Here is a 14794-nt window from a genome sequence, read left to right as displayed (position 1 = left end):
ATGGGAGAGAACTAGTGATGTACTGGAGCAACTCATACCAGCCCATAGAAGCTAATTGTTCAGTTTTCAAAAGTTTTGCTAATTGTTAAAGCATTGGCAGCTTGAAATCAGCCATGTTGAGAATACTTACACCAGGAAAATTAGCAAACTCTACAACACAGTGCTTTTCATTTCAAAGCACACTAATGGCAGAAGAGTGGGATTACCTATCTCTCCTTCCATAGAGCACCATCAGGGAAGAGGGGGTGATGACCTGTCAAATTCTGTATCTTCCAATTTTCATAAAGAGTTCTTTAGAGTCAGAAGTATATGATATTAGAGTTGTATAAGACTTTAGAGGAACTAAAGTCCAGAAACAAGAAGTACCTTGCCCAAGGTATGTATCTTACCTGATCACATAGGAAGTCTGAAGAAACACCCAGATTTTCTTACCCTCACCCATTACTTTCAGGAAATGTAGTGTCTGATTATTCACAATGCTATACTCTCTTCCCTCCTTCCCCTCACATCAAGGAAAGCTCCTGCTGTTAAGGCCAGATCACTCTCTTTTGTCAGAGCCCAGCTCATAAAATGCTATTAAGTAAATTACTGATGACCTAATTCCCAGCTGCAGGACACATTCCATTAGAGGCAGGCTGCCTGCCAAGAAGTGTCAGCGATGACTGGATGGCAGGAGTGATTGAAACCATCCTGCCAGGGATGGCTGGGCCTCTGAGAGTGCAGTTCATGGTAGGGAGGAGGTGCTCCTATTCCCCAACATGAGTCCTGTGTCTTTTTCTGGGAACTGAATTCATCAGCCTCAAAAAGAACTTTCTCAAACTAACAAGGGTCACCACTGCAGAAACAACTGGAGGTAATACCTCCTCTATTACAGATGTCTAGAATAACAAGCAAATTTAACCACTATCATCTACGGCACAAACTTGCAAAAGCTGTCCACACCATTTTTTCTTTCTTGCTTGCTTTAATTGTCAGGCTGCCCATTCCTCCCACTTCTGTTCTATTTTCTTAAAGCACAACGAGTTCCTAGTTGACAGTATGGTGGAGAAGAGTAGAAACAGCATGGTCTATTTATTTTATTTTTAATTCACCTAGTATTCACAAATAAGAAACGGGTATTTGTAGAAAAAATATATCATATATAAAAAGTAGATAAGTCCCAGGCAGGCCATTTTTTAGCTGATATTTACTTATTGCAGATTCATACAAGGGTTAAATTAGATAAAACACTTTGCGTGCTGCTAATAAACAATATAAATGTAAAAATACAATTCTGTTAGACGTTAAAGTACAAATGGAATAGTATTTACATTTCAAAGGAACTTTGGGTTCAGTCAGCCTTTATAGGTATAAGAAATGATGTAACAGAACTATCACTGGACTAGCAGTAAGGAAACCTGGGCTCCAACCTTGCCTTTATCACAGTCTCTAAATGACTGTGATATTAGAAAAGTCACTCATTTCCTCCTGGCTCTTGCTTTCTCATCTGTGAAATGAAAAGGTTTCCATTTCAAATTAAAATGAGAGTAAACCAGAGGATCAATATGGTTTGGAACTGGGTCTGCACCCAAATCTCATGTCAAATTACAGTTCTCAGTGTTGCAGGTGGGGCCTTGTGGGAAGTGACTGGATCATGGGAGGGGATTTCCCCCTTGGTACTGTGTTGTGATAGTGAGTGTGTTCTCGTGAGATCTGGTTGTTTGAAAGTGTGTAGCACCTCCCCCCGACCTTGCTGTCTTCCTCCTTCTCCAGCCATATTAATAGGCTCACTCCCCCTTTGCCTTCCACCATGATTGTAAGCTTCCTGAGGCCTCCTCAGAAGCAGAAGCTGCTATGCTTCCCGTACAGCCTGTGGAACTCTGAGCCAATTAAACCTCTTCTCTTTATAAATCACCCAGTCTTAAGTATTTCTTTATAGCAGCATATCCATATGCTGATAGTGATATGGATAATGAAGTCCAGGCTAAGGAGGTCTCAGATGGAAATGAGAAACTTATTGGGAACTGGAGTAAAGATCACTTTTGATGTGCTTTAGCAAATAGCCTGGTTGCATTTTCCCCTTGCCCTAGGGATCTGTGGAACTTTGCACTTGAGAGTGATGATTTAGGGTATGTGGCAGAAGAAATTTCTAAGCAGCAAAGTGTTCGAGATGTGACCTGGCTAACAACCGATGCTTATATGTGTGAGCTAATAAGTGACCTAAAGTTGAAACTTACATTAAAAGGGAAGCAGAGCATAAAAGTTCAGAAAATTTGGAGCCTAGCCATGTGGTAGAAAAGAAAAGCCCATTTTCAGGGGAGGAATTTCCAGCAAGTTGCAGAAATTTGCATAAGTAAAATGGAACCAAGAACTAATAGCTAAGACTATGGGAAAAAGGCCACAAAGACATTTCGGAGACCTTCACAGCAGCCCCTCCTATAACATGCTCAGAGGCCTGGGAAGGAAGAATGGTTTCATAGGCCAGGCCCAGGGCCCTGTTGGCCTAGAAAGCCTCAGGATACTGCTCCCTGAATCCTAGCCACTCCAGCTCCAGCCATGGCTAAAAGGGGCCCAGGTATAGCTCAAGCTGCTGCTTCAGAGGGTGCAAGCCATAAGCCTTGGTGGCTTCCACGTGGTGTTAAGCCTGCAGGTGCTCAGAATGCAAGAGTTGAGGCTTTGGAGCCTCCACCTATATTTCAGAGGATGTATGGAAAAGTCTGGATGTCCAGGCAGAAACCTGCTGCAGTGGCAGAGTCCTCACAGAGAACCTCTGCTAGGTCAATACAGAGGGAAAATGTGGGAGTTGGAGCCCCCACACAGAGTCCCCACTACTGGAACTGTAAGACCCCAGACCCAGAATGGTAAATCCACCAGCAGCTTGCACCCTGAGCTTAGAAAAGCTGCACGCACTCAACAACAGCCCATGAGAGCAACTGCAGGGGCTGATCCCTGTAAAGCCACAGGGGTGGAGCTGTCCAAGGCCTTGGGAGCCCACCCCTTATACCAGTGTGTGCTGGATTTGGGATATGGAGTCAAGGAACATTATTTTGGAGCTTTAAAGTTTAATGACTGCCCTGCTGGGTTTCAGACTTGCATGGGGCCTGTAGTCCCCTTCTTCTGGCTCCCTTTTGGAGTGGGAGTATTCACCCAATGCCTACAACCACATTTTATCTTAGGAGTAACTAACTTGTTTTTGATTTTACATGCTCATAGGCGGAAGTGCCTAGCCTTGTCTCAGATGAGACTCTGAGCTGTGGACTTTTGACTTAACACTGGAAAGAGTTAAGATTTTGGGAGACTGTTGGGAAGGCATGATTGGATTTTGCACTGTGAGAAGGACATGAGATTTGGGAGGGGCCTGGGGCAGAATGATATAATTCAGATCTGTGTCCCCACCCAAATCTCACCCTAAGTTCCAACTTTAGATCATTTCTTAGCTCACACATATGAGCATAGGCTATTAGCCATGTCATATCTTGAACACTCTGCTGCTTAGAATTTCTTCTGCCACATACCCTAAATCATCACTCTCAAGGGCAAAGTTTCACAGATCCCTAGAGTAGGGGCACAATGCAGCCAGGCTCTTTGCTAAAGCATAGCAAAAGTGATCTCTACTCCAGTTCCCAATAAGTTCCTCATTTCCATATGAGACCTCCTCAGCCTGTACTTCATTGTCCATATCACTATCAGCATTTGGGTCACAACTATCAACAAGTCTCTAGGAAATTACAAATGTGGAGCTGTAATCCCCAATGTCAGAGGTAGAGCCTGGTGGGAGATAATTGGCTCATGGGAGCAGATTTCTGCCTTGGTACGTGTTGCCATAGTGAGAGAGTTCTCCTGAGATCTGGTTGTTTAAAAATGTGTGGCACCTGCCCCACCTCTCTTGCTTCCTTCTGCTCTGGTTGGGTGAAGTGCCTCACTCTCCCTTTGCCTTAAGTCATGATTGTAAGCTTCCTGAGGCCTATCCAGAAACAGAAGCTGCTATACCTCCTGTACAGCCTGTGGAACCATGAACCAATTAAACTTCTTTTCCTTATAAATTACCCAGTCTCAGGTATTTCTTTACAGCTGTGTGAGAATGGACTAATACAAGGATCCTAACCTCTTCAAGGGCTTAAGACGTCCTGTTCTATATCTTTTTTTCCCCTTAATGTCTTGTTTCACTACTTGTTTTTCCCCCTCCATCTTTTCTACTATTTATGACTCAATTTCTTTTTTATGTGTTTATTTTATCCCTTCTGTCTCTTCTTTAAGCTATTAGTGATGTCAAGTGGTCACTCCTCAAATTACTAAACTCATTTCTAGGAATTGCCATGCCATATTGACTATCATTACAAAAATGTACCATGCAAATACATTTGACTGTGTTCAGATGACTGAGGTGTCCACATGTCTATGGGTGTTTATTTGAAGTAAAGAAGCTAGAGGATTATATTCAGTTATCCAGAAACTTGGCAGAATGGCATTAAAGAAAGTAAATTAGGAGTCCAAAGATTCTGCAGTGAACCATGTGAGAAGAATGAAACAATAAAAATAAAATAATTTGACTCTTGGCTTTCTGCCCTTTTTCATTAAAAATTGCTAATATTCTGCTTCATTGCCAAAACTCTGGGAAGATGTTTTTTATTATACCTATATTCCTCAGCCAACTGAGAGTAGGGCCTTGAAAACAAGCCCTTCGTAACTAATATCTCAATGACACAGAAACTATGACTAGTTTGAGCACATGTGGCTTCTTTTTCCTGTCCTTTCTAGAAATAATTGCCCTCCTTTAATTTCATTTCTGCCTGATATCTTCCATCCAAAGGCCAAGACTTAGCCTTTGGCTTCTGTGTCCTTTAATGTATTCCTGAATATCTCCTAATTTTCTAATGAAAACTTGATAGTTCATGACCGAGCAACACGCACTAAGTTCAGACCATAAGTGTTACATATTTCAAAAATTTCTCCAACATTTGTGATGGAGCTGCCAATCATCTCTTAATTCCTATGTGCCATGACTCTGAAAATGAGCCCCAAATGGCACAAATACCTTCTTTATTTCAGCCCTGTCTCAACTACAAAATAATCTCAATGCCCTTCATATGCCTATGGTTCTCACTCAGCCTAAACCCAAATACATTTTAAAGCGTTCTTTCTCACAATTCTACCTTCTGGGTTTATTTTTAAATGAAACCATTAAAGCTTGAACCTCTAATATCAAAATAAAATGGGTTAGGCAAGTGGTAAAAATGGAATAGAAGCCAAGCCAGAGTTTCCTATAAGTTGCAGCAATAGCAATACGTCATCAGAGAGGGAAAAAATAGGAAAATTAGCTTGCTCTGTCACTTGACAATTTTACAGAACTGGAATTTTATATGGAATAGGCATTTGGGTTAAACTTTTTCTATTCTACCCCTGCAGAACTTTTCCCTGCGCTTCTCTCCTCTGCATCTATTATAAAAGTCTAGACCTCAGAGGCAACTAATATAAACTGCTTTCCCCTCCTCCTTGTATCTAATTAATTTCACCTTCCTTGGAGTTCCCATGGTATATATTACCTGCTGCCAGGCACCATGAGTCATTTGTGAACATATCCGCCTCCCCAGCCAGAATGTATGCACCTTGAAGGCAAAGAACATCTCACTCATTTTGCATACACTTGGCTCGAAGTAGTCCTCTGAAAGTGTTTATTAAATTGAATTGCTTTCACTTTGTAAGATTAGCAGGCACTTTGATTAATGGCTTTTTCTTTTTTTCAAAGACTTCCTTTTTTGGTGCAAACTCCACGTGACCCGCAGTTATCTAGGGCAGTAAGTAATGTTCAAGTGATTATAGCAGAAAGCTAAGATTCCACCAGCGCTCTGGGAGTTGCAGGGGAGATCAGCAGAATCACATGCTTAATATTTTAAAGAAGTGGCATGGTCCTTTCATGGAGGTTTCTGCCATCGATCCCTTCCAAGGATTCAGTCACTCAGCCACATTTAACATTCACTAGGTCAGACCTTTATTCAAGCTGACGTCATCTGAACCCTCGTGCAATTCAATCATAGCATACATTCTGCCCAACCTCCTCCTACTCCTCCCCCAGCCTCTTGCTAGGGTGTCAGCCAATAAACAGCAGTTAATCCAGACCCCAGAACTTTTCGAATCCGTCTTTCCAGAGCTTCTATTTAGTTATGCTGCAGGGGAAAGGGTCGAGAGTGAAAGATAGAGGCGTGGCCCCTCCCATAGCAGCAATGAATCTTTAAGACTTGAGTCTCTGGGCAAAGAGAGAACTCTCCCTTTCTTCTTGGAAATGAAATCGAGCAGCACTATCAGCCAGGGGCCAGCCACATGAAAAGGGATTCCTAGTTGCCTGTCCCTTACTCCCGGATGTCAGAAAGAAGTCGGATATTTCTCACGCAAGAAATAAACACCCCTCTGCCCGCTGCTGCTTCCTCTGATTTCTCCGCGAGCATGAGATGACTGAGTAACGCAGCTGGATTTTTCTAGTCCCCAGAGTTCAACACCCGCCCGCTCACCTCTACCATCCTCTCTTCTGTTCCCTTCCTCTTTTACTTCCCCTTCCCCCACTTTCCCTCATTTAAATACAAACGCTTAGGTTTCCCTGCGCTCCGGAGCCGCCATTGACATCAAGCAGGGTCTCCATAGAAACCAGGAGGCGCGCAGCGGGCTTCTGCAGCCCCAGCCCAGGATTCCCAGGCAGAGGTGTGGCTCGGTCCAGAGGAGCTGCGGGGAGACCTTCTCCTTATTAATATGAACCTGGGGAGGAGGAGAGAGCGTTTAGGCAGAGAGGGCACGCGACGAGGTAGAAACAGAAGGGGCTAAGGGAACAGATTATCTATTAAAAATGTTTGGTTTTAGCCTAGGAACATTCAGAGGAGAAGTAGTCCAAGACACCCCAGGGTCAGGGTCTTCCTCCTCTCAATTTTTCATGTACTCAACAGATCTCAGCTTAATGTGGAGATTATTTGGGGGAGCCAGTTTCCAGTGTTTAGTTGCAACGAAGCAGCTGCCACGCCCTGGACTGCATGCAGCAAAACATTCTTCCTGAAAGCACTTAAAACGGGCAAGAGAACCACACCTTTGCACTCGTCTTTTTTTCCTAGCCATTTTACATGTTACCTCATTTTATCCTCACGAAGGTGGCGTTATGAACCCCATTTCATAGACAAGGATGCGCATGAGACGGTGGTTTATAGTTATTCTGTCCATAGCCTTACACCTAATGTCTTGAAGAAAACTCTGCACCTCCAGAGTAAGAGAGTCTTTATTTTCCCTTCTCATCCTCATTCTTCTTTGGCGGTCACTCCTCTGACCTTCTCCCATCTTTCTCCTCTCAAGCATGGTCATAAAAAAATTCTTCTGAAAGTACATCATAAGGCCCCATTCCAGAAGAGGGGTCTTGCCCTATTCCTGGAAGCAAAGAAGAATTTGAATAAACAGGACTTGCTGAATTCCCCCCATTTTATTACCACTAGAACATAGGTTTTTGTTCTCCAATCACACTTCTGTATGGCTGTCCATAAAAATACCCAGTTTTCCCTGGGGTCTTTGGGTCTTCATTTATGATGCCTGCCATGCCACATAAAACTTTGGTTAAATAAATTTGTTATGCTTTTCTCTTGTTAATCTGTCTTCGTTATAGGAGTGTCAGCTGTGACCCTTTGATGGGTAGAGAAAAGATATTACTTGCTGTCCCTTACAGTTTTTTTGCTTCACATATTAAAGATTCTTGTACTAGTTTCCTGTTGGTGCTATAGTAAATTATCACAAAGTTTTTGGCTGAAAACAACACAAATTTATCTTTATCTCACAGTTCTGAAAGGATGTCAGAAGTCTCACTGGTCTAAAACCAAGGTGTCTGCAGTGCTGTGTTCCTTTTGGATGCTCTAAGATAAGAATCAGTTTCTTGCCTTTTCTGGCTCTTGGGAGCTGCTGGCATTTCTTGGCTCACAGCACCCTTTCTTCTTCAAAACCAGCAATAGCATCCCTCCAGCCTCTGTTGTCACATTTCCTTCTCTGGTCCTGACCCTCCAGCCTCCTTCTTTAAAGGATCTTTGTGATTACACAGGGCACACCTGGATAATCCAAGGATAATCTCTCCATCTCAAAATCCTTAATTTAATCACAGTTGCAAAGTACTATTTGCCATCAAAGATACTATATTTACAGTTCCAGGGGATTAGGAAAGAAGGAATTATTCTTCCTACCACAAACCTCATGTCTTTTATCATCTTAAAAATAATGACACTTTAAAAATCTTTGTCTCTCCTAAATTGTAAATCAATTTGTCTCTTTCCTAATACAGTCAAGTGTTTTTTTTGTTGTTGTTGTTGTTTATAAACAAACAAAAAAAATCCATTCTCACTATGTCTATTTCCTTAACTACCATTTATTTCCTTACTGTTAATTAGCTCCCCACTATAATTTACTTCTCTCTCCATGGTATAAAAACTCTTCTGTCAAAATTCAAAATTACTTTCAAATTGCCAATTTCATAGACATTTACTAGTCCCTTCTTACTCTACTTGTTAGTAGCCTTTGACTTTAACATTTTCTTTTTTATGAAATTCTCTCTTTTCTTGGATTCCGAGACAATACTCCTATTTACTGTCCCCCACTGCCCTCTCCACACCCACCCACCCCCCCAGCCCCACCAACTCTCTTCTTAAATCTTTGACTTCTACTCAATCCTTTTTGTGGACTTCTCTTCATCTTCCTGTCCTTAAACATGAATGTTTTCTACAGTATTGCTACTCAAAGTGTGGTCTGCATACTTGCAGAATCAACATCACCTGGAAGCTTGCTGGAAATTATGATGATTAGACCCCACTCCAGGGCTACTAAATCAGAACTTGTATTTTTACAGGATCCTCAGGTGACTTGCACACACACTAAAGCTTGCGAAACACCGGTCTTGAATTTCATACTTGATCCTTTAATATACTCCCTGAAAGATCTGATCTACCATTCCATCTCTGGCCATAAGCCTCAAATTTATGTCTTCAGCCTATATAACCTTTTCAGATTTAACTCATATATTGAGCTATCCATCAGACATCTTTCTCTAGATGTTCCAAAAGCACTTCGAATTCACCCTATTCAAAATGAGCTCATCATCTCCAACTGCCAATGTTCTATTTTAGTAAACAACATCTTTTTCACCTAAATATCCAAGCCAGGACATTAAAAACCCCTTCGTTTCTTCATTCCCACATCCTCACAATCATCTTGCCATGTTAATTTTCAGAAATATCTTCTCTCATCTTCAACCATCGCCAGTGATCTACGTCATAGTGGTATCATCTATCACCTCTGAATTGGTGTCTTTTTCTGTGATAATACAAGAGCCTCTTGACTACTACCACTCCCAAGTGTTTGAAAGATTCCTAAAACACACACACACACACACACACACGCACACACACACACATCATTTGATCCAAGCAGTCCCTGGTTTTAAAACTTTGCTATCATGTGCAGAATAATGTTCCAGCTCTTCAGCATGGTGACAAAGGCTCCCTTGATTTGGCCCCTAACTCTCTTTCTCACCAGCAGCCCCCTTCCCACATACATATTCTGAACTGTATGCATTATTTGTACCACATAACTTTATACTTCTCCAGCCTGTGTAATTCCTGCTACTTGACACAAGCTCCCAAACACTTTGCAACTGATAAATTCTTACAAAATCCTTCAAAACTGACGTACCATATCTTTTTCTGAGTTAATCTCTGCTTCTTCTCATAGAAAGGAGTATTCACTCTTTTATACATACTACACTTCTTTATAAATACGTACATATACTTCTCTGTTGGTTACAACACTTAGAGCAATGTTTTGAAACTGTAACTACATGTTTCCTTGTCTACAAAAAAAGTTCACTGAGATGGTGATTTTTTGTTTCTTATCTTTACCACTTTGCATAATGCTTAGCACATAATAGGCACTCAGTAAATGTTTTATGAATTAATGAATAAAATCAGTTAATCAATCAATCAAACAGCAGCCCTTGGGTCTCAGATTACACAGGCATGAAAGTAAGAACCCTGAACCCACTCACCCCACTCAGCTTTCCACTAGCAACTTAAAATGAAAGAGAGCCTCAAGCCAGTGCTTTAAAGAGTGCCTGGATATCGAAATAAATTCCACTGTGTAATGATACTTTCTCTGGTTGTTGGATTTTCTCTTAAATTAGCTGGAAGACTAAAGGACATAAATATAAATGAGTGCTGCAACGTGATTATAATTCAGCACCTTGATTTTACATATAAACATGTTTAAAATGTAAGAATATGCACAATTTATAGTTACGTGCTTTTAAGAAAGTGGTGGGTGGGTTTCTTGTGATTCAGCATCCTAACCACTGGTTGCCTGTACACACTCAGGAAGGTGTGGCTTTCTGCGTAAATAAAGAGGCCCATCACTACAGCTATTTCTCTGAAGCAGAGTACACCCTGGTCTATGAAGCCCCCATAGGAACTACTGAGACTCACTGAGAAAAGTGTTTTTCCTCCCATGTCTGGACAAGGCAGTTCTTGGTTTCCGTGAGGAGCTTCAGGCTGCCATGGCAACTCCCAGTCCTTTCTTTACTCTTTATGTGTGCTATTCTACCAGGAGAGGTAGAAAGCTGTAATCTTTTCCACTTCCCTTTTGCTCCTCCCCTTTCTTCTGTACTTGGTCTAGGATGGCAAGAGGTTAACACTAAATTCTGCTTGTGATTGTTCATTCCTTGTGAGTCTGTGTCTGTGCAAACTGCAGTGATAGAGACAAAAACCACCTGGATTCTAGTTTTTTCTCTAGAATGATGATGTGAACTCTTAATCAGAAGAACACACAGTTCTAGCCCCAGCTCTTCTAGTCAAAATGGAGAATGGGAGAAAAGGGGTTTAGGCTATGGTGGAGAGAAACTAACTGGGTAAACGCCAAGGATTAGGATGAGCTTACTGGTATGCATAATCCATTTCAATTCAAAATTGGGGGGGTCATAGAAGACCCTAGAGCAGAAGTTCTCAAACAGGTCTGCATGTTAGGACCTACATCACAGACTTTTAGAAACACAGATACCCTGCTCCAGAATGCACTAGATCCAAACAGGAGGTGACCCCATATGATCAGCACCAGAAAAAAACAGAACAAAGAAATAAAGAATGAAATTCTTGAGGGATAAAAAACAAATCAAAGGCTGGTTGGAAAAATTGACGTAGGATGTCAGGACAGAGAAAAAGGGAGTGGATTGTTTTATCAATATCTTGAAATCAAGGTCTAAGACGTCAAATGTAGAATAAAAAAATGAACGAGGCCCTCAAACTGAGTTAGGATGTCACTATCAATATTGTACATACCACATACCCCAATCCTTAGGCTTAGTTGTTCCTCTCTCTAATGCTGCAGTGTTTTTAATTGTATTATATAATGTGCTACTTTTTGAATTGTAATTTGCTCATTTATTTGTTTTAATCACAAGGGGCTAATGCTTCTTTACAAAGAGTAGGTTGTCAAAAAGAAAAGGTTGAATGAGATATTTAATAATCAATGCTTTTGGTGTTGTACTTGATAGTGTGGCAACAACTGAAGGTCAAAAGTCAAAAATATTTACAGAGAACGAAAAAATCCCAACCCTAATCCTTGACATGTAAGAATGAAATGCTTCTACACATTCTTGTTAAAACCAACATGCCCACTTCTGGAAGATACTGACTAGATTTGGGTTACTGTTTTGGAGACCTGAAGTCAATGTTAACTTTCTTTCATTCTATCAAGAATGTCAGTAGTAACTAGAGGTATCAATGAGTTGATCATTTTATAGTAAATAATGTGCCATCATTTTTCCAATTTTAAATTCATTCAGTCATTAAACAAACATTTTGTTTGAGCAAGGAACTGTGCTAAACATTTGAGAATAAAGTGATAATTGTGTTTGTGTGTGTTGTGGATAGATTGTGATTTTATAACCTTTTTAAAATGAGGAACTATCATGCATGATACAAGTAAACATGAGTATTTACAGATATTAATTTACAACATATATACCTTACAGGAGGTGGTATATGTCAAGTACCGTGAAGGATCCATGATTTTGCCCTACTTGCAAGATAATATGTCAGTCTGCATAGTTTTATGGATGCTGACAGAAGATATGAAACTCCTGGTTCAGAGAGAAAGGACTTTATTACTAACAGCACAGCAGTAGCATGAGATTCATGTTTGTGTCAGCTCTCCATGTCCTCTAAGACTCCCAAAGGTGACATAGGTAGCTGACAAAATCTGAGCTTATGAAACCACAATTCTTTTTATAGTGGGCGGCAAGCAAATCTACCCAATCTTTGACCTAGACGGAGGCTGTATTAGTTTGTTCTCATGCTGCCAATAAAGACATACCTGAGACTGGTAATTTATACAAAAAAAGAGGTTTAATGGACTCACAGTTCTACATGGCTGGGGAGGCCTTACAATCATGGCAGCAGGCAAAGGAGGAGAAAGATACATCTTACATGGTAGCAGGCAAGAGAGCTTGTGCAGGAGAATTGCCCTTTGTAAAACCATCAAATCTCGTGAGACTTATTCACTACCACAAGAACAGTATGGGGGAAACCACCCCCATGATCCAATGATCTCCACCTGGTCCCATCCTTGACATGTGGGGATTATTACAATTCAAGGTGAAATTTGGGTGGAGACACAATCATACCATATTATTCTGCACCTGGCCCCTCCCAAATCTCATGTCCTCACATTTCAAAACCAATCATGCCTTCCCAAAAGTTCCCCAAAGTCTTAACTCATTTCAGTATTAACTAAAAGGCCACAGCCCAGCCTCATCTTAGACAAGGCAAGTCCCTTCTGCCTATGAGCCTGTAAAATTGAAAACAAGTTAGTTACTTCCTAGATACAATGGGGGTACAGGCACTGGGTAAATACAGCCATTCCAAATGGGAGAAATTGGCCAAAACAAGGGGTTACAGGTGCCATGCAAATCCGAAATCTAATAGGGCAGTCATTAAACCTTAAAGTTCCAAAATGATCTCCTTTGACCCCATGTCTCATATCCAGGTCATGCTGATGCAAGAGGTAGGCTCCCACAACCTTGGGCAGCTCCACCCTTATGGCTTTTCAGTGTACCCCCTCCACATTCCCCCCTTCCTGGCTGCTTTCACAGGTTGGCATTGAGTGCCTATAGCTTTTCCAGGTGCATGGTGCTAGCTGTCAGTGGATCAAACATTCTGGGGTCTGGAGGATGGTGGCCCTATTCTCACAGCTCTACTAGTCAGTGCCTCAGTGGGGACTCTGTGTGTGGGCTCCAACCCCATATTTCCCTTCTGCACTGCCCTAGTAGATGTTCTCCCTAAGTGCTCCACCCCTGCAGCACACCTCTGCCTGGATATCCAGGTGCTTCTATATATCCTCTAAAATCTAGGGGGAGGTTCCGAAACCTCAATTCTTGTCTTCTGCACACTCACAGAACCCACACCACATAGAAGCTGCCAAGGGTTGAGGCTTGCACCCTCTGAAGACATGGCTTGAGTTGTATGTTGGCCCCATTTAGGTATGGCTGGAGCAGCCGGGATGCAGAGCACCAAGTCTCAAGGCTGCACATAGCAGGGGGGCCCTGGACCCAGCCCAGGAAACCATTTTTTCCTCCTAGGCCTCTGTGCCTGTGATGGGAGGGCCTGCTGTGGAGGTCTCTGACATGTCCAGGAGACATTTTTCCCATTGTCTTGGTGATTAAAATTTGGTTCCTTGTTGCTTCTGCAAATTTCTGCAGCCAGCTTGAATTTCTCCCCAGAAAATGGGTTTTTCTTTTCTACTGCATCATCAGGCTGCAAGTTTTTGAAACTTTTATGCTCTGCTTCCTCTTGAATGCTTTGCTGCTTAGAAATTTCTTCTGCCAGATACCCTAAATCATCACTCTCAGGTTCAAAGTTCCACACATCTCTAGGGCAGGGGCAAAATGCTACCAGTCGCTTTGCATAGCAAGAGTCACCTTTACTCCAGTACCCAACAAGTTCTTCATCTTCACCTGAGACTACCTCAGCCTGGACTTTGTATTCCATATAATCATCAGCATTTTGGTCAAAGCCATTCAACAAGTCTCTAGGAAGTCCCAAGCTTTCCTACATCTTCCTGTCTTCTGAGTTCTCCAAGTCTGTAAGAAGTTCCAAACTTTCCCACATTTTCCTGTCTTCTTCTAGCCCTCCAAACTGTTCCAACCTCTGCCTGTTACTCAGTTCCAAATTCACTTCCACATTTTGGGGTATCTTTACAGCAGCACCCCACTCTACCAGTACCAACTTACTATATTAGTCTGTTTTCATGCTGCTATAAAGACATACATGAGACTGAGTAATTTATAAAGAACAAGGGGTTTAATGGACTCACAGTTCCACATGGCTGGGGAGGCCTCAGAATCATGGCGGAATGCAAAGGAGGAGAAAGGCACATCTTACATGGTTGCAGGCAGGAGAGCTTGTGCAGGGAAATGCTCCCTTATAAAACCAGCAGATCTCATAAGACTAATTCACTACCATGAGAATAGTATAAGGGAAACCACTGCCATGATTCAATTATCTCCACCTGGCCCTGCCCTTGACACATGGAAATTATTACAATTCAAGGTGAGATTTGGGTGGGGACACAGCCAAACCATGTCAGAGGTATCATTTTTATTATAATGGACAGCAAACAATTTTGTTCTTTGCTCTGGAGCATGACAGTATATTTTCCAAGGCTGTCTGCTATATAAACATCCTTGAAAAAGATAGTCTAGAACAAAAATCTGTGAGTTCTGCTCTCAGGATGTGCAGAAACTCAAAGGATTCATGGATAA

General features: G+C 41.7%; 1 annotated feature.

Annotated features, from left to right (window-relative positions):
* Positions 268-821: an enhancer, noted in NCBI's record as "OCT4-NANOG hESC enhancer chr3:115237315-115237868 (GRCh37/hg19 assembly coordinates)". NCBI's record gives its function as "activates a minimal SCP1, AML or CMV promoter by ChIP-STARR-seq in naive H9 embryonic stem cells {active_cell/tissue: H9 hESC(naive)}" and the evidence as "EXISTENCE:reporter gene assay evidence [ECO:0000049][PMID:30033119]".

The sequence above is a fragment of the Homo sapiens genome, chromosome 3 (genome assembly GCF_000001405.40).
Source record: "Homo sapiens chromosome 3, GRCh38.p14 Primary Assembly".
In the NCBI taxonomy this organism is placed as follows: domain Eukaryota; kingdom Metazoa; phylum Chordata; class Mammalia; order Primates; family Hominidae; genus Homo; species Homo sapiens.
Note: the sequence above shows the minus strand (reverse complement) of the source record. Positions and strands in the feature narration are given on the sequence as shown.